The 25469-nt window shown below is 40.3% G+C and overlaps 1 protein-coding gene and 1 long non-coding RNA gene across 5 annotated transcripts in view; both read left to right on the top strand.

Annotated features, from left to right (window-relative positions):
- Window positions 1–9027: 9027 nt before the first annotated feature.
- The window catches only part of NFIB (nuclear factor I B), a 450235-nt gene continuing 433793 nt past the window's right edge, over window positions 9028–25469 (top strand). For all 4 annotated transcript variants that reach the window (NM_001369468.1, NM_001369462.1, NM_001369459.1 and 1 more), the window contains exon 1: window positions 9028–9158. In NM_001369468.1, the coding sequence (NP_001356397.1) occupies window positions 9063–9158 (96 nt within the window). In that variant the 5' untranslated portion in view covers window positions 9028–9062. The remainder of the gene's footprint in view (window positions 9159–25469) is intronic.
- LOC124902120 (uncharacterized) lies at window positions 20654–24868 on the top strand. The gene is made up of 2 exons (XR_007061419.1): window positions 20654–20689; window positions 22586–24868. It is a non-coding gene; the product is annotated as an uncharacterized LOC124902120 (long non-coding RNA).

Raw genomic sequence — 25469 nt, 5'->3', positions numbered from 1 at the left:
AATACCTGAGTTCAGATATAAAAGAATATTTGACTTGCTCCTAGTTTTTCCCCCAAGATCACATGGCATGGTTAGCCTGAAAAACAGAAAATTGGGAGATATTATAATAGCCAACTTCAGATATTGAAAAGACAATTTTGTGAGAAAGGATTCGATTTCTATATAACCAAAGGCGGCCACAAGTAGAGCAATGGATAAAGAATAGTCAGTTTTGTGTGAAAAGAGAGGAGGCTGGCTTGGAAGAGAGTGTGTGCCTATATTAGAACAAAATAAGTAGATGAAATCAGTGATCTGTGGTCAATCTTAAGTAATTACAGAACAAAGAGCAGATTCAATCAACTGTTAATTTTAAAAAAGGAAATTCTAAAAAATAAGATGTAAAATAAATGAAAAATAAAACAGAAAAGCAATAGGGAAAACCAACAAAGTCAAAAGTGGGAGCTTTTAAAAGATTAATAAAATTGACAAAACCTTAGCGAGACTGATCAAGAAAAAAAGAGAAAAAGAATTACCACTTTTAGGAATGAATGAAAGAAGGGTTATCATGACAGAACCCATTGACACTGACACAATAAGAAGATATTATAAACAATTTTATGTCAGTTAATTTGGCAGATAAAATGGATAACTTTTTGGAATACATTTTACCAAAACTGACCTGATAAGAAATAGAATCTGAATAGCCTATAGCTGCTAGAGACTTTGAATTCATAATTTAAAACTTTTCCAGAAAGAAAACTCCAGACTCATATGGCTTCACTGGTAAATTCTATCAAATATTTAAAGAAATAATAATGCTCCCACACAACCTGTGTCAGAAAATAGAGAGGGAGAGAAGACTTCCTAGCTTATTTATTGAGGCCAGCATTACATTGATAGCAAAACCAAACAAGACTATTCCAAGAAAAGAAAATTACAGACAAATACTCAATATGAATATAGACACAAAAATCCTTGACAAATCAAATTGCCGGATATTTAGCAAATCAAATCCAGCAATTTATAGAAAGAATAATAAACGCTCAACCAAGCAGGATTCAAGAATGCAAGAGTCGTTCAACATTGCAAAATTAATTAGTAATCCACAACCTTAAGAGATTAAAAGAGAAGAAGTCTATGATCATCTCAGTAGATGCAGGATAAACATTAGATTTACATTTATGACTTTTTCAAAAAGAAAACTCTAAGCAAAATAAGAATAGACAGAATTTCTTTAATCAAGACCACTATAAAAACCTATAGCTAACATTAACCTTGATGAAATATTGAAGGCTTTCCACCTAAGATTGGAAATGAACAAGAATGTATTTTCTCACCACTGTTATTCAACATTGTAGATGGAGATTGTGGCCATTGAAATAGTGAAAGAAAAAGAAGTAAAAAGCACACAGCTTGGAAAGGAGGAAGTCTAATTCTCTTTCTCCACAGATGACATACTTGTGTACAAAGAAAATCCTAAAAAATCTACATGCCATTCTCCTGCCTCAGCCTCCCGAGTAGCTGGGACTACAGGCGCCTGCCACCATGTCTGGCTAATTTTTTGTATTTTTAGTAGAGATGGGGTTTCACCGTGTTAACCAGGATGGTCTCGATCTCCTGACCTCATGATCCACCCACCTCGGCCTCCCAAAGTGCTGGGATTACAGGCGTGAGCCACCGCGCCCGGCCCAATTTCCCTAACTCTTACAAATCAACTGCCTTCCCAGTTACGCATTTTCATAGCACTTCTTTAAAGCATCCATCATAGGTGTAATTTTGTATATACTCAACGTGAATGTGTGATTAATGTCATTCCTCCCCGTCCCCCGAGCTGTAAGTTCCTCCAGAGCAAGGAGCATGTATATTTTTGCTCACCAGTACCTAGTAAACTATCTGGCACATGGCAGGTAAGCAATAAATATTTGCTGAAAGAATGAAGACTGCCTGATGAATGAAAATTTTTATTGTAATCAGTTCCGCTGCCACTTTGACAAAAGCAGGTGAAACCATAAAACTCTGCTATCCATTCCTCCCTCTCTCCTCTAATTCCAAATCTATGCACACACACCCCACACTGCCTATGGGGGCCTTCTTTTTTTCCTTCTCGTTTTCCTGAGTTCATTGGCACCAGAATTTACTTGTCTTACAACATGTGTGTGTGGCAAAGGCGTTGAGAAGGGGAGTGAAAGAGGTGGGGTTGGGAGGGTGGGGGGGTGGGCATATGGGGAGATTTGCCTCTTAATGGCAGCTTTAAAGAGATAACCCTGCCCTTAAGGAGCCCAGCAGTAAGAGACTTTGTCAGTCATTAAGAAATCTGCAGCGGCCTTTGTTTGTTCATAAGAACTTTCACACTGGAGGGCATTCCAGGCCACCTATCACTGCTTTCCATCAAGGCTTGGGGGTTTCATGTTTATCTGTGTTACTCATGTGTTGAACTTGCACCAGCCTCCCTGAGTGGCTTTAGGAGGCTTATTTGTGAAACCCGCCTATCGCTTGGCAAGATTTGCCTTGTTAGAAAGGGGCAACATGGCAGTATATTATTACTCCGCCTTCACTAGTGCTTTCATTTTTTATCTTATTCTCTGCCTTCTGAAAGCATGAAGGGAGAATACTGCTCAGATCTCATGGACTGGGACTGCTTGTAGCACTAGGCAGTCCTCTAGAGTCTGCCTATCACCGGCTTTAGTGTTCAGATATTCAAACATTGAGATGGAAAAGTGTATTGATTTACTTTTTTTTTTTCAACTTTGTATTTTGAAATCATTTGTAGATTCAAAGGAAGTTGCAAAGAAAAAAAAAAGGTACAGGGAGGTGCCACGCACCTTTCATCTTACTTTTTGTTTTTATTTACAAATGCGATACATGAACATTATGGAATTTCAAAGAGTACAAATGTATACAAAAGCGCATGTTCCTCCTCAGTAATTGAGTCAACATTTTTCTAATATTTTTCCTATGCACAAATGAGTATATGGATATGGTTGTGTTATTTATCAAAAACAGGATCATGCTGTCCAGCAAACTTCTTTTCCTTACCCAGAATCAAAGTAAAAAATATTTCTGTGTCGGTAGCCATAGCTGCCGTATATTCTTGTAAACAGCAACATAATAAGAGAGAAAATGTTTCAAACCCTTATTTTTAGGAAACATGGCATTTTTTTGGAAAGAAAAGTTAGTATAAGAATGAGCACACTGCAATTCCAGACTGACTTCTCAAAAGAAAAAAAAAAAAATACCTTTTCTAAGGGAAGCTCAGACTCTCAGACTCTGTTCGTGGTTTTAATCAAATTATCCTTGTCTGTAAACAAACACCTTCTCCAGGAGAAGCTGGAGGTGGATCTTATCATCACCGGTATGTCTCCCACTTTAATAATCAGTTGTTTCCATTCCCTTAAGTGCTTAATCTTCTTGTTTAGGAAGGTAAAAATTCTGCTACTTGTCTCAAAAATGGCCTTTTATCCAGCATGCTGAATGAGACTCAGGGCCTTCCTCCGGGAGTCCTTAGGGATGATAGAGATCAGTTGCAATGAGATCTCGAGGGAGGCAGTGGGAAGGACTACCGGAACCCACCATGCAGGTGGGTGGGAAGCCAGTCCTCCCTAGTGGGTAAGCACTGTCCGTGGCATGGGATCTGCTCAGTGCTGACTTATTTTTAAAAGAGAGGCCGACTCGCTCCAGGCCTCCTCCAGACAGCATCACCAAGGGCAGAAAGTGAAGGTGGGGCCCTGGGGATTGCTACTGGCTATTTTGATGGGCTCAGGTACTAGAGATGAGGCCCTTGTAGTCTTAATGTTGGATCCATCTCTTCTCTGCAAAATCCAGACCCCTCAGGACACTGGCTGGAGGGAGATTGCAGAGTATGACAACAGTGCTAGAGGCTGAGGAGAAATAGCTGTTAGAATGGCCACAGGTCCCTCCCTGAACCTCAGAAAGAATGGAAAGCTCGACTTCTTCCCTCGGAGGAGAATGAGAGGGATTGAAGATGTCTCTGTCTCATCACCTGGCTTGCTACACGTTCTCTGCTACCCTCATGCTGACCATGGGCCCAGTCGAAGGCTCACCTAAATTCCCCTGACTGACGCTCTGTTTCTGCCAGGTCCAGGGAAATGATTGGATAACATGTCTGACTACTCCAAACAGGCTCTTAATGGGCAATATTCACTTGTTACTGTTAGCTGGAGTTGCCTTCTCCCACACTTTGCATTTTGGCTCCACCAGGACCTCTGAGCCTGAAACCCAGAAGTCATTGCAGACTCCTCTCTCCATCAGCCTGCACACCCAAGGCCCGCTCTTCTGTACTCTAATGACTCTTTATGGCCACCCCTACGGTCTGAGGTCATTCATTCACTCGACAGATGTTCGAGTGTTTGTGCGCCAGCCTCTGGGCGTGAATGATGAGCAAACTCAGCCCTTCTTGTCCCTGCCTTCATGGCGCCTGTGGCTTAGGGAAAGAAAGTCTTCATCTGTTTTTCCTAAGCTTTCGCACCAGACTGCTCTGTTCTCAGCTTTGCTAACTCAGTTCATCCTCCCTGTGGTCTCTAGCGCATTAAAAAGAAAACACCCCCACCCTCAACCCAAGTCTTAATCTCATCTTTCTTCCTGATGGTATGGAGAAAGAAGCAGCACTATATGAAGTGGCAAAGGAGCAAAGGCTTAATTTTAACTCTTCTGCTGATTATCTGTGTGAGTTCTGGTAAATCTCAGTTCTCTCACTTTAAAAATGGAGTTGGAGGAGGTAATACCAGTGCTAAAATTTATACTGATTCTAATCATTAGCTACAGCTAGGAATGGAGCTTTGCGTAATTTTCAAAGTACTTTATGAAGATATGATTGCTATATAAATAGCTATCCATGTTTAATGTATACATCTTGATGAGTTTGGGAGTAAGTATACACCCATGAAACCATCGCCACCATCAAGGCTCCAAACACATTCATGCATGACCTTATTTCATCCTCACGACGACCCTGTGAGGGATACTATTCTCAGCCCCCTTTTATAGGTAAAGAATCTGAAGTTTACAAAGTTTAAGTAACCTGTGCATGCTCCCCCAGCTAGCAAGTGGCAGACCAGAACTCAGGACTAGTTCCCAAACGGGAGCTCGTTTCTCTATGTGCTGTACTATGACCTATTACTATGTTTGTGAGCACAGGGCTCCTAGACTCAGTACAGGATTAGACTGGAATTGACAGAGCTAAAAAGCTAAAAATAAAATAAATCACAAAATAGCTTAATAAAATGATTCCCCAAATCGCCTCTAAACCTGTTGGCTCCATGGGTCAAGATCCCTGAGCACTGATCACTCCTATCCACGGAGCTGGAAGGGAGTTAAGCCAGCCCCAGAGCCTGGGGAGGTGCAGGGGATGGATGAGAAGCCAGCTAGAGCCCTGGGCAGAGGCAAAGAGAGCAGACTGTGAGGACATCTGAATGGCTTCATTTTCACTTCCTCACTCTGCTTTTCCTCTCTATTTTTCTCTCTCGGTCTCTATATCTGTTTTCCTCTCTGATTATATTTATATCTCCCCTTCTCCTCTACGTGGTGAAGTGAGACTTCTTTCCCCCTGTCTGCTTTCTCTCTCATTCTCTCTTAGTTATTAGCAATGCGATTTGGGGCTATTTATGGGCACAGAAGTTAAGAGTCCTGCCCAGAGGTCACACAACTAGTAGGGAACAACGCTGTGATTTGGACCCTGGCTTCTCGGACAGTGCCCGTTGGCCACAGTCCATCTTGCTTGTTGAAGAGGCGGTGACTGTGAATAGTTGAAGGCAGTGAGAGACGCATTGTAGCCTCTCTGCGAAGGTTACTGTCCTCAGGCTCAGCTCTAGGCAGATCACTAGTTTATTTGCCAGTGGTGACGGAAATTAAAGCACTGCCAGGGCATGCCTGAGCAACAGTTGGTGATTGCTTTGGGCTACAGACCTGGCTTTTCCCAAACATTTGTTCTAGCTAGTGAGGTGTGCAAGTTGGAAAAGGCTGTTAGAGGCAGCCATGGCTAAAGGGTAGGAGGGGAGGCTGCAGAAGTGGGGGAAGTGGAACTGTAGGCAGGCGCAGACGCTGTGGAAAAAGGAATTGGAGAGGAAGAGCTGAGATTTGGGGTATTTTAGGGATTTAAGCAAGGCAAGATGTAATCACCCCCCAAAGTGTACATGAAGCCCTCAGTAGTGCTTTTGAAGTTACTTCGTGTTTTTAAACATCCAGTTAGCCTTTAGAACGGTATCAGGTGAGATGAGTTCAGTCAATGAAGCCAGTCACAACTGGCGTCCACCTGAGAGCCCCGTTGGCCTGATCTCCCCAGGTTATGGGCTACACCGGCATGCTTATAAGTTTCACTCTCAGTGAAAGACGCCCCGCAGGCCCCCGACGGAGGAGTGCTCAGCCCCTGGACATGCCTTTTGGGAATGCTAGCCCCAGTTCGGGATTTGTTTCCTGTTTAGCTCTGCCGGTGACCCCCGGTCAGCTGTCCTCTGGCGTTCCCCAGCCTCACAGAAGGGGAAGGGCACAGGTTTGTCATTTCTGTCCCCGTCTCTTTGTTCCTTGCGGATCCCAGTTTTCTCCATAAATGCTGCAGCCTCTCTCTCCTGGCCGCTCCTTCCCCTGCTTCCCTTATCATCTTTCGGCATTTCCTGCTTGTGTAATCAACTCATCAAAAGGAGGGGTCCCCACAGTGACAGTGATAACGAGCCTCCCAGCAGGTCCGCGTGTGTATGGGCTGCACAGAGTGCCTCGATGATGAGAGGATGCCCAGGGGATCTGTAAAGCCTTGGTGGGCGGGCGCTTTCAGGCCAGCACCCCAAAGTTGACCTCTGCTTCCTGAGAGCTCTTGGAAGGCGGTGCTGGAGGGAATGGCAGGTGGGAATCCTCCTTCCACCTAGAGCACCTGAGGGAGCCAGGCTGAGGCAGGCGCTGATTGCAGGGAGAGGAGGAAGTGTGTAGCCACGCTGCCCTCGCCGCCAGGCCAGAGAGCTGCCCCAAAGGCAGCTCTGGAAGTGCCTGGGGAGTTGCTGGCCTTGAGCAGCCCGAGGAGGTCTCTGGCCCCATCTCTTTCCCTGGCTGCTGTCACAGCAACTGGACTTCCTCCTGCCTGTGACGACATTGGGTGAACGTAGTTGTGAGATTGATGAGACACAGACTGTATCTCATTGCCCTTCACAGCCCCAGTGTTTACTGTGATGCTTGGCACATAGTAGGCATTCAGCATCATTGCTGCCATCTGAGAAAATTAAAACAGGAAAATACGATCAACATTAACAGGCTCGCTACCCAATCATTGCTCAGGGGGAAAAAAATACAAATAAGGTGAAGAATGGAGTAGGGAGAGAGAGAAAAAAGGAGGAACCCAGAGCATGGGGTACTTCAAAGGCAGAGACCTGGGTGGGGCATTTCAGTCCCCTCAAACCCCCTCCTGCCTGGGAATTAAAAAAAGAAAAGAAAAAAAAAAAACCGGAGGAGGGAGAAACAGAAGAATCGCCAGCCATGAGGGGATAAGCTGGTCGGTGAAGGGCAGGTTCTTTTGCCGCCAGCCCAGAGTCAGGCTACCTTAAGCGCCTGTCCTGTCTGAGACTGTGGCTGACATGTTTCCCCAGGTGAATATAAAAATACCCAAAGGACAGAGCCCTTCGGCAGCGGTTGCTTTTCTTCTTTGAAGTTCACAGGCTGAAACAAGTTGCCTCTTCTGCCTCACACACAGAGAAAACTCCGGTAATAAAGCAATTTTTTCCCTTCATTTTGACTGAATCAAATAAGAGTTTGTCCTTTTAAATTGTCTGCGGAAAATGTAAATTCTAAGCCTGAAAGTCATTCAGAAAATATTAGCAGGGCATACGGAAGGCAGAATGACTACGTGTCAATGAAAAAAGGTTGCCTGGATTTCGTGGTGTACAATAGGGGCTCCAATAATCAACAGCACCATTTGTAGAGATGTGTTTGCCTTTTTGTATTTTAGCAAAAGAAAAAAGCAGGAATAAATATACTTGTCCTCGTCTGGATTTCTTATTATAGTGGCAGGATTCTTTAAGATTCTCCCTGCAGTATTCAGGTTTTTACTCTTCAGAAGAAAAAAAAAAGGCTGTTCAGAGCAAGTTGTTTTATTAGTAAATGTTAGTTCCTGACTTGTGTGTGTGCTTATTGGAAGGACTAGTTCAAAGTCCAGGAAGAAACAGAAATGATCAGTGCTTAGGGGATAAAGAATTTTTTTCCCGAGAGTATGACAGAATGACTAAGTGAGGGAGCATGTCCAGAGTCAGATAGATTCTGGGCACACCCTACTCCTCCCTCCTCATTTTTGACCAGCTCTTCTCTAGATGAAGGAAATAATGTTTCTAGGCCATCTTCAGAAGGAAGGAAGCACCAGGCCCATTGCCTCCTGGTTGAGAAACTGTTCTCAAGGCTGATTTATCCTTCCAGACTGCAGGACTCTTCTTTAACAGTGATTTCAAAGAGTTAAACTGCTTCCATATGTCCAGCATGAGAATGGAGTTTGTAGCCTTTGGCAACCTCAGCTGAATCCAGCTGCAGCTGCTACCTGTGTGTTCCACTGTGTGTGTGTGCGCGTGTGAGTGTTCTCACACACACCCGCACGCCCGTGTGTGCAGTGACATCTGAACCATGTTCCGACTGTGTCAATGAAACTGTTATGTCTTTGTTGGGGAGATATGAATTCTGAGCAATTACAGCTCCCTCTCTCCTCATTCCCTCCCACCCCCCTCCCCTCCCTTCATCTGCTCAGCAAGGACCATGGACCATGTCAAACAATATACAACAGAGAAGAATGCAAATAAACTTTAGTCTGCATCGCCCAGCAAAGCAGTTAGCCGCCCACTTGCAAGATACTTAACTCTTGTACACATGATACACAAAGAACGCTAGCTACTTTCACCAATCCCTTCAGACCAAAAAAAAAAAAAAAAAAAGGCAAAAGAACTGATCCTTGTCTTTCTATCTGTGAGGTTGCAGTTCCTCCTGCTAATAAAGGAGCTTTCTCCCATGATGCAGTGTGATAAGGATTGGCCTACATGTAGTCCAGCAAGCCACCGCTGATGTTTTCTTGATTAGGTGTCTTATCTTCCATTGAGCTGCATCTGATGAAGGTTGCTGACAGCATAATGGCTGGGAAAACGTCGGACAGCTCCATAAAATGGCAGCTATGTTATGACATGTCAGCCAGGACCTGGTGGATGGTAAGTTTGGCGTAATAACATTTTTTTCACCCACCCCCAAAACTTCCCTCCCTTCTTCCTTTCGAGCTCCTCCTCTATTGTTCCATGCACGTGTTATAAAGTTCGCTGCCTGTGGAAAGTTCAAGCTCAAGTTTTGGGACCCTGGGGTGCCTCTGCACACCAGTGTGCTAGATAGGATTTCCCTGCTATTGTGGCCGGGGGCATAGGCCTTCTTTTTAAAAAGGCAGCATGAGTTTTTGTTCCCTTTTTTTTTTTTTTTAAAGAAAAATGCAAATGGTACAGTCGGTCCCAGGCCGGCTGCTGTGAAATAGATGGAGGTGGGGCAGTCAGTAGGGGATTGGAGCCTTCTTGGCTAATTGTTCTTGCATTGGTCTTAAAACAGAGTAATGTACTTCTTTCTGCAGCTCCTCTGAATAATGATTTAGATAGTGTATTGTATCATGTTGTGTGCGGCTCCCTCATCAGTATGCGACTGTCCCCCACGCTTTGCCTTAATTTGGAATCCACCTCCCTTTCAATGAATACTGTAACTGGAGCAACCACTGATTACTATGCCACTCAGCGTAATTAAATTTAGTTAATGAGGATATGCATATTCAGTTCATTATTTTTCTTTGCTCAGGCAAATGTGTGTGGGTTTGTTGTTGCTGTTTTTCCCCTCTTATATTTGTCCAGCTGCAAATGTGGGGAAGAAGGAAAGGAGCATAGAAATTCAGGGAGGGATATTGGTGAATCCTGTGACTCAACTTTTAACATAATATTGGGAAGAGAGAAGTTGTAACTTTCTGTAATCAGAGTGCTGGGATGAGAGGTAGTAGTTTGGGGAAAGAAAACCTTTCACATCCAAAAAGTGCTACATGATAAATTTCAACATACTGATTTCTGTTGTGTGGACAATGGTCTCTTGTATGCAATAGTCGTGACAAGAATGGGGAACCCTTTCCACAGGCAAGCATTTCATATGACTATTAAATTCGTCATTGGGTTCATTCATCTGAACATTTACTTTCTTTTCTCATTTTCTTTTTCTTCTTTTTTTTTCTTCTTTTTGCCCCTTTCCTTTTCTGTCTTGATTGCTTTTACTCGTTTGCTTCGATAATTATTGTGCTTACTACAAGGGCCGTTTTTCTCACAATTAGTACAGTGGAAGACAATGGGCACTTTATTCTAGGTGGGGAGGGGTATGGCCAGCCCTGGTGGTCAGCTCATCCACTGTGCCCGGACAGAAGGAAGCCTGGTCTGATTAGTCCTGGCTTCTGGCATTGCCAGGCAAGAGGGTTTCTTATGAATGTGTTTGAATTTCCTGAAAGGTGGATGTTATGCTGTTGATCCTAGGCGTCTCGTGAAAGCTCAACGTTCAGGGAAGCTTCCCTGGAAGCTGAGTCCTTCTCTGCACCCTTTCTCGTTAATGTGAGATGTGTAAACCTGCAGGAGAACTTTTCTGCCGCTGCTACTTGTTGCTGTTTTGAGTACTCTCAGAAAGAAAGGCCAGTTCCTCAAGGAGAGACAGAAACCTCTCTCTCTCTCTCTCTCCCTCTCTCTTTCCCCTCACCCCTATTTTATTCCTGATGAAATAGATTTTACAAGTGATATAAACTCTAAAGTGGCAAACTGTTATTTATGGTTGTATCTCTTACTATACTTTAGTACTGTGCGTGTACATGGTGAAATCAACTGGCAGATGCTTGGGGAAAAATGCTGTGAAATGTTTGTGTAAAAGATTTGCTTTCTGTGACAATACCAAGGCTTGGAAGTGATGTTTTAATAGTTACCCTGCCTCTTAACTGTCATTTTACGTTGTTCTAAGAAGTGAGTTTTAAAATCAATATTCTTACTAAATGAAACATTTTCTGTTGGGGAAAAGTAAAAAGGTTTACTCTCTACAATTTTACTGAAAAACTGGGATTAAGATGGGTATAGTAAGCCAATCACTATTAATATTTTGACATTAAATTTCACCATTCTACTTCTGTACAGTCAGATTGCAGCTTCTCAAGAGAAGTAGGCTGTGAATATTATTACTAAAGATTTGCATAAGCTGATTGTTCGTTTTTAGAAATTGTGGTCTTTTATTGCTGAGAAGATGCCGAGTGTGTACAGGGACAAGTTCAGAGGTAAAATATTAGGCTAAAAATTATTGCGTAATTTATTTTGGTATTTAATCTTCATTAGGTTACATGAAGAGTACGTAAGTTTCTTATTGGGACCATTCTGTTTTAATAAACTTTGTTATTTTGGCACCAAAGTGTTTAAGGGATTATTATTTAATGTGTCATTGAAAACTTGGAATGACAGATGCTTTGTGGAAAACCTAATTAATCAAACTAAATGATTGCTTATCTTTAGTAATACATTGGAAGAGAGAGAATTTAGAAGAGAGACAGAATACATGGCGGTTACTTTTACATGGTTCCCCTGTTGTGGATGTAAGGAAGATTTTTTAAATGTGTTTTAAGGTTCTTACAAACTCGTTTATTGTGATTCTTCTCTCACCGTGACACTGATTCTTTTATTTTTATAATAACTCTGGGCTCTTTGTGTAAGAAAGGATATTGTGTCCTTCTTTGGCTTAATCAAATAAAATTTTAGTAACCAGATCCTGAATTCCAAAGCTGCAGTGTTAAAGTACCCAGGCAATTGCTTCCTGACTTATTGTCTGTTTCAGTTAGATTCTCTTATTGTGTGACAATGATCATAAATTCTACTTGACAGGGAAAAAGCCCAAACAAGACGTAGTTGTCCAATTCTACATCTGTTTTCCTTCCTAGACAGGCATGTTTTAGTAAAACAGAGGGAGGAAAAACATTTTATTGAGACAGCTAAAAATAAACAAGTACACGAAGAGTAAACTCCTGTGTGTGTGTTAAATATCATCTACCTACATTCAGTTTTTAAAATGACGCATCCTTATATATTTTACTTCTTTAGATGATTTTGTATGTGACTTCTTTCAAGGAGAAAAATCGCGTAAGCAGTTTAAATTACCGTTGCTTGGCTATATTTAGAGTTCTGTTGATGACCTTTCACATTATTTAAAAATACCACTTGGAATGTATTAAAGACATATCTCCTAAACAGCACTATTTCATTAATGGTTATTGATGATGCTATATGTTTCCTTTTAAAGCACTCATAAATAAAACTACCAAAAACAATTTTTGGACTTTCCATTCTATTTTGTACTTCACATTTAAAGCTCTCTGTGAGACTTAGTAGAACTTCTTTGTCAGCTATTTGGAACTTCAGAGTAGCAGGTATGCACCAGACATTATTTTTTTCTCCAACTTTCATAAATCTAATCATTTGATCCCATCAGAACCAGGCCAGAACATTTGTAAGTTTACTTTAATCATGAAGGGTAATTATTTGAATATTAATCTGTAAAATTAATTTGAAAATTAATTTGCCAGTCTATGCAACTTGAAATTCTCGTAGTCTTGTAAATAGTAACCACAGTGAATGGGCATATAAGCACAAACACTAGGCTAGATCCTCTGTTATCCAAGGTTATTCTTTGTTGAACACCAATCAGTCTGCTCAGTTGTAATGTGCTTTTTATTTGTCTTGAAAGAAAATCATTTTTACTTTTTGAGAAGTTAGTGTGTTAAAACAGTGAACCAAGTACCCTCACATAATCTTATTTTGTTTAAGACAATGTTAATAAAAGTGTTAAATCCATCAATTGTTTGCTAGGCTGTTTTAATAATCAAATTTTGTTCTCAATGTTAATTTTAATTAAACAACTTGGCAATAATATCAGTATATGTAGGCCACATTGAAAAGATTGTTTTCACAGCAAACATTTCTCTGAAGCCTTTGAGAAGTTGAAGTGAAAGATATATAATTGACTATTTTAAACTGAAAATCCTAAAATTAATAGATCCTCTGATAAATGCTGAAACTAGTATATGTTACGGTCTGTATTTCATTTTCTTTTACTAAAAACTAAAGAATTTCTAAAGAGTCTGATAAATATGCTAAATATATATATTAGAAAACTTCTGCCTAACCTAATAACCGCAGCTAGACTCCTATGGTAATCTACCAGCCATGCAAAGATATATCTGAAAATCAAAATTCAATATTTATTTAATTTCAAATTGTATTTAATTTCTAGAAATGTAATTGAATATGGAAATGTAGAAATGTGGTAGAAACTAATAGATACCATACCATACATATAATAACCATAACAACTAGTTGTCTAAAGATATTATGTCTAAATATTGGATCTATTTGTAGAATTTGAAACTATAAAATTTATGTTTCAGTTGACAAATACCTGTAAAGAACATACTATATGCCAGGCTCTTTCTAAGGTGCAGAGGAGACCAATCCTATCGCCCCATTCTGGAATCAAACCCATGTCACAGTGTTATGGAGGGGGGTGATCGACATCATATTAATGAAAGCTTCTGAATAATTTCTGTTTTCTCTAAAATGTTGCTAACTATATAGCTATTATAATACCTTTGCAGATTTATCACTCAGTGTCATGGTAATTAGTACATCTTTTCAGTATCCTTTCTTAGACCCATAGGTGAATGTTAATTTTACTATTACTTCTAAGCTATCTCCTGTACAATTAATGACATAGATAAAGAATAATGGTTTATCGAATACTAGTTTCTGAGTAAAACAACAACAACGATGATGATATCTGAGTAAAAAGAAAATTTTAACATCTGTAAATAATAGTAATTCGTTTTTAATATATCAAATTTTGTCACAGAGAAATTATACTTTTTTCTTTCATGTCTTCCTTACCTATGTTCTTTAGTGTTGCATTTTCATTTGTGGTACCATTTTAGCATATTTAAATACAAGTGAACTATATGAAGATGTGGTAAAATACATTAATCTTCTTCCAAGATACTTTCTTATGTGGGAATGACTTTTATTTCATTTTCCATGATTTATTTTCATGTATGTGCCTGCATAATGTAACATGTAAACTTTGGATAAAGAAAAGTATCCTTAGATCCTATCTTAATAAACAGTGATTAGATGGTTATTAATTTAATCAGAGAGTAAGGAAACACAAGTGCCTGCCTATCCTCTTTTCCAGTTCTTTTTTGGAAGCAAAGGGTCGTGTTCTCAAGGAGAGTTATCTCTTCTATCTATGGGAAAGCTGGTGTTGATTTTCCAGTTTAGAGACTAGTCAACAAAGAGAGATATCTGATGCTCACGACATCATTGAAACTACAGCATATTTCTGTAACATGGCTGAATGATGTCAATCACTATTTTTAGGCATTTTAAAATTCCCCGAGATTGTTATTTTCTATGCTGTGATTTGTAATACATATTGTTCTGAGGGGGTGAGAAAGTCTGCTCAGAAATAGGAAAATTTAGCAGGGCAGGAAAAGAGAATTACATTCCCCTGTTGCGTCTCAATGTGCAAAAAAGTCAGGATATTGATATTCAGTGCAAAAGTTCTTTTCACAAGAAGTTCTGCTAAGGGATATATGTAGCTATGCTACATGTTTTATTAACTTTTAAGAATTCTAAATTTTATTGCATTTTAAATGCTTAGCAAAGAGCCAGGAGAAAAGAAAGTACTCAGGAAATGTTCGTTATGATCATTATTATTATTTCAACTTACACTAAGCATGCTTTATAAATGGAACAGATTTAACATATCATGTAATAAACAGCTTTAATAACAATTTCCATTTCTCAATGTTCTAACATTAATTTTACCCCAGCACCTCCCTAAAAATATGACTTTATTCAGAGAGCTTTTTTTTTCTAACTTCTCACATACTATGTTCATTTTCTGAGGTTAGAACATAATGGATATGTTTATGAGCACAGGGCTGAATCCTGGGAAATGTAGATTTGGTGACCTCTGGCAAATGAATTTGCTCCTCTCACGGCTGGTAGAGGCAGCTGTAAAGTGCAGATAATCATACTCATTACATGTCGCTCCAACCTGTCGTGAGGATGAATGAGATGGAGTCGGCGAGGCACCTGGTGAATGCTTTGTAAATACAAGGTCCACGACACATATCCAAGGGGGCTAATACAAATTGTGGCTATTTATACAGTCTCAGGTCTGAGCACTTAGTAGGTGCCCCAAAATACACACAAATAACACGGTGTGTTATTTGAATGGAACCATAACATTTCCTATGGGGTTTTCATAATCATGTTGAGTTTTTAAAAATTCACATGAACATTTTTGTGGGAACTGCATACATTAAATGAATCATAAAAATTCAGGATTTTCCATTTCAAATTGTAGCAGATTTCTTAAAAACAGAGACTCCTGAAATATTTTCTCATGGTTAGCAAGATCCAATGGCTAATGTTACACATTAGCTTAATTTTCATCATTAAATACCATGATTTTAAGGGTAAAAGAAACCAATGACTACGGAGGGCCTCCTCTTTGCCAGGTGTTTGCCTGGTACTTTGGAAGGCAATTTATATAAATCATCTCCTTCAGTCTTCAGCACAGAGCAATAACATAGACATTACCAGAACCACTTTACAGGGGAGGCCACTCGACTTCAAGGTTAAGCAACTTGCTGAAATGCACTCCACTGATAAGGGGAGAAGAGGAGAGAACACGAAAACCCTCAAAGTTTAAATAAAGTTTCTCTGCTCTTTCCCAAGAACCCAACCATTGACTATTTCACCCATATGATCTGGGTTATAACTAATTATTGGTGACCATGGTAAGGTGTTTGACCATTGCCTGCTTTACATCAGTCTGCCCCTCCAGCGCCATTTCATGCCTCTTTCTGGGGCTCAGCTCTCCCTCTGTGTTAAATGGGCCAGGACACTCGCTCCAGAGCTGTGTCTGAGAACTGTAGAGCTCTGGGATTGGAGGTAGTTGAATTCTTTGGAAATGCGATTCCATTCATCTTTCCTCGAGACAATTAGACTCGCTATAGTCATAAGCCATCTGGGGGAAATTTTTTGGAAAGAAATTGGCAAGCAAAATGTTTCCATTTTCAGGTTTTGATGATATCTGTTTACCTCCTGGAGCTCTTGTGAGGCTCCAATGAGATAATACACAGTCAACGACTTGAAAACTGTAAAATGCAAAACAAATCTAAGGTATACATATTATTATCTGGTGATATTAAACATGGGTGGATGAAGAAAAGCTTTCCAGAATTTTGCCGGTGTTCTGGAGTGTGATATAATGGTAAATTCTCACCAGCCAACAGAGGAAATGCCAGCTGCTAAAACGTTGTATGATGCTATCTGCAAATTCTGCTGCTAAACTCAAAAGTATTAATCCTTCAGATAACAATGCACTGCTAGTTCACCAACATCTCATGTAACAGTAGTGATAATATCTACCACCTCTTTTTGTACATTTAATGAGAAGGCATGAAATTCTTAAAAATTTCACCTGTGCCATTTTGCGGTTCAACTCACATTTTTCATTGATCCAAGTTTGCACCTTAGCTTGTACCACAAAAGACTCTTAATCATTCTTAAATGAAATTATTATTTTAACTCACACTTAGCTTATATTATAATGGGAAAGATTTAGCTGGTCACATGATGAACAGTACATTATGTTGTAAATGGGATTTTTTTTCTGTTATTTTCAAGGTTGTGAGAGAGAATATTACCAGCAACTGTTTGAGAGAAAACACCCTAGCACATTTGATACGTTTCTATGCTATAGGTATGAATGTTTAATATAAATGGGTCTACTGTATTATATGGCACTTATTATGTGTGAATATAAGATTTACCTTCTATTATTTAGTTGCTCAAGTGTGCAACCAAAATTATAAGCCCCAAGAGGATGGGGACCACATCTTATTTACTAGCCCTAAACAGCATTTTGTACCTAAAAGGCCCTTAATGAATAATTGCTAAATTGCATCAAGACTGCTGCTATCCCATTTTACTAATAGAGAGGGGAATCCAATGAGCACTCAAGTTCTGGGTTGATCAATGGTAATGAACTCAAATCTGTGGGCCCAAGTTATGAATTGTTATGCCGTCTTTTTCCAGATAAAACTTAAATGTACTAGAGGCATGTTGGAATTATGATGAAATTAACAGCCAAGTTTTAAAACTGAAGGTAAGAGTAAGAAGAAGGCCCATAGCAAAAGCAATAAGTTTGTATTTCTCTGCAAGCACACAAGCTCAGTCAGTATGAAGTGGTAGGGCAGCAGACGGACCTGTCACCCTTGTCAGCAAACGTCATCTCTAACTGTCGCAATTCTTTTATCGGACTGACTGAGATCGTTCAGGGGTCTAATAAGTTAGAGAGTTTGGAAAAGGTTAATGTATTTGGGGGATAAATGATCAAGGCAAAGTGACTTTGGAATAAATGAGCTTTTTGTATATTTTGTTATTTTTGACGAAATAAGTTTCATTTAAGAGGATTGATTATTTTTCCAGTGTAAGGCTTCAGTCATTTCCCCATAATTCTTACATTTATGGCGATGTCGGGAAGGTCTCTGGCATGGGCTGGCATTTTAACATTCAGTGTTTGGGTGAGAGTTCAGAGGCACACGCAGGAATAACAGAAACCTCAAGTAGAATGGGTAGACTGTGGAGAGGTGTGGGTTTGTGGGAAAGTGAGTAGGAAAGTATCCAATCACTTGTGAAGAAGTACGTGCTTATAAATAATTTTGAGAAAGAGATATTTAAAGTTTAAAAAGCACTCCATTTGGATTCAGCCCTGCTTTGACCACTGTAAGTTGGTGTCTGCATGAAAGCTGAGCCAACACCAAGTGTGCTCAGGTATTATAAACTCTGCAGCCCAATCTCCAGAGCCCGAAAAGTCACCTGCCCTACTCTTATGACCCACTTTTCCTCAGGGCTCTCATGAAGTAAATTTGAGAGAGTACTCTGGAGGCCCCTGAAAAAAATCAGGTCCCTCTCAGCCAGACACTACCCTTCTATACCAGCAGAAACTTTTCTTTCCCTCAACTCTCTCATGCTTATTTTCAGATATTTTAAAGTGAAATGATGGTAGAGACACAAGGGAGAAAAATTTGATTGTGGATTATTATTTTTGCTCCCAAACACTCCAGTCACTGTTAGAACCAGGAGCACCATTCTCCCTTCTAGAGCAGAGCCTCTGGTTTGAAGGAGGAGGGAAAGAGCTGTGTCTACAAGATAAGCAGTCTTCACCTTCAACAGTTCTTACTATTTCAAGGTTCAATGCTGATGCTGACAGCTAATCTGATGAAAATTATGCGGAAGGAAATAAACTTTCATTTCTCCAGTTTGGACTTTGAACAATAAAGGTGGAAGAATATGAGACTCAAAGTAACATCATATATGCTCTAGCATGCACTGCAGGGGATAATAGTTATTGTGATTTTCCAGAATTCCAGGTAGTTTGCTATTATCGATAGTCCTAAATGACCTCACGCAAACTTCGTTCACCTTCTCTAGTATTTCCTCTGGTTTCCTGTTAGGTGGAATCGTGGAATCCTATGTGATACAATAATAACAAAGACTTTAAAAGAGACAACAATGCTTTTTTTTATCCATACATAGAAGAAATAACACTAAATTGTTATTTTATTTTTCCAATAAGATGTTAATTATCGTATGTGAGGCTATTCATTTTATTGGCACCAAAGATGTTTATAAATGGTACCCCACATAATACAAACCACATGTTTACGTAGCATGAATGTTCAATCAATTAGTTTACACACATAAACGCTGGAATATTGATGACACATGTTAGTTTTTAGTGGGAAAAAAGCCAACAGAGCTAATTTGATGCATTGATCCTTGGGACCTTCGCACAGATGTAAACCTTTGACTTCATCGCAAGTGATTTGGCTGACAAACAGTAGCTTGTAATTATTGTTGTGCCATCATAAATTAATTAAAAAATCAATCAATCAGCTTAGACCAGGCAGGCCAGCCATATTTGTCAGTTTGGGCTGTTTCCCTTCACTTTACTTCCCTCACATGTTCTCTTCTTATCAGACACTTTGAAAACATTTGCTTGTGCCAGATTGGCTTTCTCCTAAACTTTCATAGGGAATTCCAAACAATAGCATGGATATGGGGAGATACTGCTGAGGAATTGATGAATATTCTCTAAACTCCTGGCCATAGGACTACCAATGGGTAGAGTGAATAATTATTGAGCATTCAAAGCCTTTTGGCCAAAGCCATCTCCCCACGCAAGGGATAGCACCTCAATCTCTGGGCAAACAGGCATCATTTAGGGACTGAGTGATTGCTAATGTAACAGTTTTCAACATTGTCCCAAAAGGTGCTTCTTTGATTATCTTTCCACCCAAGCCTATATTTTGAAAGATTCCATTAACTGAACAAATTGCATGTATTAAACTGTGAGCTGTTTTTGCATTTTTCAGATATCACCATCCACAAAGAACTCCGATGTACCAGGTTCTCTGCTAGGTACTTTGCATATATTATCTTATTATTAAATAACAATTTGCAACAACCTTGAAAAGTATATGTAATTCCCATTTCACAGCAGAAAAATACTGAGGCCCAGGGAGTTTAAATAGTTTGTCCAAGCTTACTCGGCTGATAATGGGCAGTGCCAGGATTAAAAGTCAGGTTATTGGCACTTCCCATAACACCATGATTAACCAAAGACATCAAAGGACTTCTGAACAGAACATTACAAGCCGTGTTTTCACATGGAGTTGATGTACTTCTAGCCCAAATCAAAGAGATTTGACCTTTTAGTTAGAGGACAGAACCTTATTCTGGATAAACCTACCATTTTCGAATGGTATTTGTGAAATATTAAAAAATAGTTCCTGCATAATTTTATTCAATCTCCTTTCAAGAAATTTGAAAGGGTGGAGAACTTCTGAATCTTTCTTTGTCCTGCTCACTAAAGCCACTCTTCCTGTCAATGCAGAAGCATCATCCACCACTTTGTGAATAGGGTGTCATTGCTGCTTTTGTTCAGCCTCATTTTCTTGTCCTGAATCAATGGGGCAGTAGAAAAACAGCTGAGCATCCAAAGAACCAGATGGATGTCCCTAAACTGGTCTGTAGGCATAAGCGAGCCATTTAACCTCTGAGTCCTGACTACTTTTTTGAACCACTGTAAATGAAGCAAAGGAAAGTCAGTGGTTTCTCACTTTTTGGGCCTTCCATCATTTATACATAGAACTGAAATAATCTATTCATGAAGCAGCCTTACCCTTAGTACCTGAAATGCACATTTACTAGTTTTCTACTTTATTCTATTTCATCTTTTTAAATGAAGGTGCTGTCTCACTAAATTGATATCTTGACCTGCTAATGGGTCATGACACATGGTTTGGAAAATACTGAGTGAATGCAAAAGTTCTCTGTAGAAGCTAAATTTAATATCTGCACAGAAGTGCTTCAGATTCCTGTGTTTAGAGGTCTTTCATTATTTCAGCCCCTCCTTTTAAAGGAATTTCATACTCATTGGAAGAGAGTGACTGTTTTGCAGAATGTGATCTTGGTCTGTGGCACCGCTGCAGAACATTCCACTGAGGTGTTTCTCCTCTGAGCTGCTCTAAGTACAAGTCAGTCAGCCCTTGGAAGAAGGACAGGTTGGGTGCAGAGTAAGTAATGCCTGCCGGGCTGGGTCTGTGTTCATAATGCATGTTGAATTCTTATCTTAGATCATTAGGGAAATAGCACCTATTAAGACAGACCCTTATTTTGTAAATAAGGTCATGGAATGAAATTGGAAAGTTTCAGGGAAAAAATGTGTGTAGTTCATAATTACTATTTAATTGGTCATTGAAAACATGAAGAAATGGCCTTTTGATAAAATTACAATTAGATAGATAGAATGGGTATTTCCTAAAGAGTTATTTTTTTCCCTGAAATTTTTAGTAGAAGGAAATCTTAGGTGCAGTGTAAGATAATATCTATTGTGCCTCACATATCCTCATGTGAATGAAGGAAAGTTAAACATTATAAATAGTTTCTTTAGAATATGGACTTCATATTTTCACCAATCTGAATTTTATCATGTTTATAACGTAGAGAACTAAGGGGAAGCTAAAATTAAAATGGGAGAGAGTATGGGATGTAAAAATACTTTTTGGAGAGTGTTTCAGGTTATGTAGAGAGGAAGAATAGCATTATGGTTAAGGGCCTAGGCATCTAAGGCTAGACTATCTGGGCTCAACTCCCAAATATGCCATTGCCCAGCTAGGTAAACTTGAGCAAATGAGTTAACATTTCTGTGACTCAGTTTCCTCAGCTGTTTTGTGGGGGTAGTAGCAGGATCTGCTTAGTAAGATTGTTGTGAGGATTAGATGAGTTTTATTCATAAACCATTTTGCCAGGCATATATTGGGTCCTCATGCTAATAGTAATTAACTCTAAGTAGGGCATAAGCACAACGCACCGCAGTAAAATGCCTGACAGTATAAAGTATACAAATAAGAAAAGACACAAATAAGGTTACAAAACAAAAACAACCCCTGCCTCCCAACCCCCCGCCAAGAAAACACACAACAGAAACTACTACTAGGAGAAGTGATTCTTAGCAGTTAAGTCAGTGGCTTTAGGCTCAACCAATTTCCACAAAGACTTTGCTTACCTTTCTGAGAAAATGATTTCTTCCAGACTCTGAGCTCCTGTTTAGTGTATTTACTCCTTATGTCATTAATTTCATTTTTCCCCTAAACTCAATGATAAACTTCTGGAAAGCAGAGATCCAATCTTACTTAGCATTATATTTCCTCTCTCAACTTCTCTTCCTGGCACTCAATATCCTTATACAAGCACCGATACCATCAGACTTGTTGAACGAGGTTGAGCTTGCCTTAAGTTCTAGTCTCTTAGCCCATTGTTAGTGCTTGGAGAGCCCAGGACACAGAATTTATAAATAAAGCCAGTCCCGCTTTTCACAGAGGCACCCCACCATCACCACCATACACACAACTTAAAAATGAGCTGTTCATTAGCAATTTTGTGATAAGTGCAATGGGTCCAAAAGGACCCATCAAAGATGATTTCACCCACAGTGTACCAGGCGCAATAATGGCTCCAGGCAACTGGGGCCTGGACTTTCCCCTTCCTCCTTCCAATAGCCCCCTTCTTAGCAGATGAGTGGGAATCCCCCATCTCCCAGTGGCTGAGCATAGACTCCACTGCTCCGATCCAGAGAGGGAAGTTGGGAATTGGAAATATGGCCTGAGGTTCCTGGAGAGTGCAAAGAGGGTGAAGGAGAGATCTCTACTTCTCATGCTCTCTACCCCATTTGTCTTTCATTTTCCCATTGCTGGCAAGGAAAGGAGGGAGTAGTTCTTCAGCTTCCCTTCCTCTACAACTTGGTTTCTCTTCTCTCTTTTTTTTTTCTTGAGTTTCTTTCCGTAGTCTTGAGCCCAGAAACTGCAGGACAAAAGTAGTGGTGTTAGGAGTAGGGATGGAAGGTGGACCTAACAGATAACTTCTTTCTACTCCTCTTTCTCATATCCACTCTGTTTTTTGTTTCCCACTAGGCTATCCACAATCTCACCACTGGATACTAGATTATGATGACAGCTGGGGATCCTGGGCTGTTAGTTCAATAATGGGTGGCATTCATCAGGAAGACTCTTACCAGCAATGGGCCTATAAGTTTGTGAGGAATTGTGACAGAGATGGGTACAGAAGGCAGGAAAAGAAGCTCAGTTCTCAAGGTAACCTTGCTCAGCCAGCTGGAGCAAGTCATGAGTTGCCTGTATCCATAAACACTTAGCCTCTATTGCCTACTTTGCCCCAAAACACAGGGCCATGGCCATAGATTGAGAAGTCGCTAGCCTCTATAGAAAAATATCTTTATGATGACCTTGTTGCGAATGTCTTATCATTTAGGCCATCCATATTTCCAATGGCATATAGACCCAAACGTTTCTTATCAACACTGCATTTGTAACTGCATAAATATATTTATTCCATTCAAAATTTTTTATAGTGTATTTATAACAAATGCTGTATGAACAAGGCAGGCTTAGTGCTCTTCCTTGTGGAGTTTACATCTAGTTAGAAGACAATGCAATAAGTCTTTTGTTGCTGCAGTATTGCCTGACTTGGAGCTACATAACAGAGGCACCTAACTCATCTTGAAGCTGGTGCAGTTTCTTTAGATGCAAATAAGAGAGAGCAGAAGATTAATTCCTGCAGAGGGATGACCATATGCAAAGGTCCAGTGGCAAGAGAGAGCATGACTCTGAACTGGGAAACAGCCCATGGAAAAAGGCATCATGCTGTAAGTGAGGGCACTTAAATTAGGCAGAAAAAAATCCACACCAAGAGCCCTGCTATTTTGCTGACTGATGTAAAGAAAGAAGGTCCAAGAACAGGGCCATGGGCTATTAAATCACCCTATCTACACACACATATACACATACACCACCACGACCACCGCTACCACACACCACACATCCACTGCAGGACAAGGATTTCATTATAGTGAAACTTCACAGACGTAGATCAAGTAACATAGGACAAGGGTCTAAGCTCAGATGGCTGCTGTTTCTGCAAGTTTCTGGTTTATCCAGCCTATTAGACTGTGGCCAGATGTACTGTGTTACCTACATAATCCTTATCAGCAGCATTCCATCTGTGTCATCCAAGTAGCAGGAATAAGCAGGCACCCTTTTGGAAAGTGGCCCAAAGGGTACAGAAAGCAGGTACGCCTTGGAGGCATGTAACCCACATCCCTGCAAGTCAGGAGAGAAGACAAACACATTGAGTTTCTGCCCCAGATACTCACTTGAATTGCTCCTGCATTCCAGAGAGAGGTTGGTGGGGGGAAATTTGGAGGTTAGCTGTGGGCCTTGGAGTGATGATTACTTTGTAATGGAACAAATTAAATTATGTGAAATTTTAGATGCTTTCCTCCTGCCCTAGTGGCTCCCAATCTATTTAGGGGTAGTCAGAAAAAGGGGACCTTCACAACAGCTGCTTAGCTGCTTGAGCTCAGAGAGGAAACCCATAATTTGTCTGTAATCCCTAATGCCAACAGTTGTTCATTAAGAAACAAAACTAATGTAATCTTGATTATTTGCTCAGATTTCTACTCTATCATGTTTTGTGCATCTGGCAGGCTAATGTAATTTTCCTCAGAAACCCAAAGCAATCTGGTGCTCAGACAACACCATGCAGATTTAGGTAAATTCCAGGCTCAGATTAGCATAATACTAACTAATCACGAATATTATTTGCATTCATTAGAGTGTTGGGGAAAAATTGTTTCTAAATGGCAGAAAATTGAAAGAAGGATTAAGGGCAAGAGCTTGAAAATCCTGTTTGGCTTGATACGACTATATTACAGATGATTTTTCTCTTACAAGGCCTAATATTTAATGTGGAAGTATTAATTAGAGTATTGGAAAAAGATTGCATCTAATTGGAAGAAAACTAAGAGAGATTAAGGACCGGGCATATGGACTTGCTTTTGCTTGATTCAAGTGTGGAACAGATAATTTCCCATGCAATGCCAAGGAGCTTAAATGTGTAAAAGATAGGGTGATTAATTTTTCAGAAAGAACCAAGCCTTTTTTTTGAGATAACAGAGAAACACAATTTCGTTCCTTATGGAGTAACAAGTTATCGGTCAGTGCCTTTGTTTTTGTGATCAAGGAAAGAAGGTAACAGAATTAAACTCCTGAATCTGAAATACTCCCAAATAAAGGGGAAATCCCATAAAGCCCACACACTGGGCAAACCTTAAATCACTGGTAATAGATCCCAAATGTTGTACTGATTTAAATAATAATAATAAAAAGATTCAACCCCCACCTCCTGGTGGCTAGCTATTTTCTTTGCAATTTCCAGGGCCAGTCATTTGGCATTTGTGGAATTGGTTACAGGCCGTGTGCTGGGGCCTGCGCCTGACTGTGGTTCGAGGCAATTGTCTGCAAATCCTGTCTCTGGGCAGCTCGGCTGCTGTGGGGCTAAATTCAGCGCTGGCTTCCTGAGGGCTCGGAGCAGGTGCTCGCCAATGGCTTTGGCTTCTCCCTCTGACAGATGAGCAAGCGGAGCCGCTCCCCTGGAGGGAAGCCAGCTGAGCAGCCATTAGCAGTCACAGCCTTTGAATGTCCAGGCTAGTCTAGCTGCTCGCAGAATCCTGACTGTTTGGGATTCAGGCTTTGGCCTTAGCCTGAATGAGGTCGGGCAGCATGGTAGAGGAACTTGTTACTTAAAATGTGTTCTGGGTGGCCAAAGCTTTGGCATCGTCTAGAGGCTTGTGGGAAATGCAGAAACTCAGGCCCCACCCCCAACCCACTGAGTCAGCCTCTGCATTTTCGCATGGCCCCGAGGATATGCATAGGCTCATTCAAGTTTGACAAAAGCTGGGTTCTAGGACATTGGGCCTCAGACGTTCAGAGGCATAATGAA

This window comes from Homo sapiens, chromosome 9 (genome assembly GCF_000001405.40).
Source record: "Homo sapiens chromosome 9, GRCh38.p14 Primary Assembly".
NCBI lineage: Eukaryota > Metazoa > Chordata > Mammalia > Primates > Hominidae > Homo > Homo sapiens.
The sequence above is the reverse complement of the archived record's forward strand: the minus strand, read 5'-3'. Positions and strand labels throughout refer to the sequence as shown.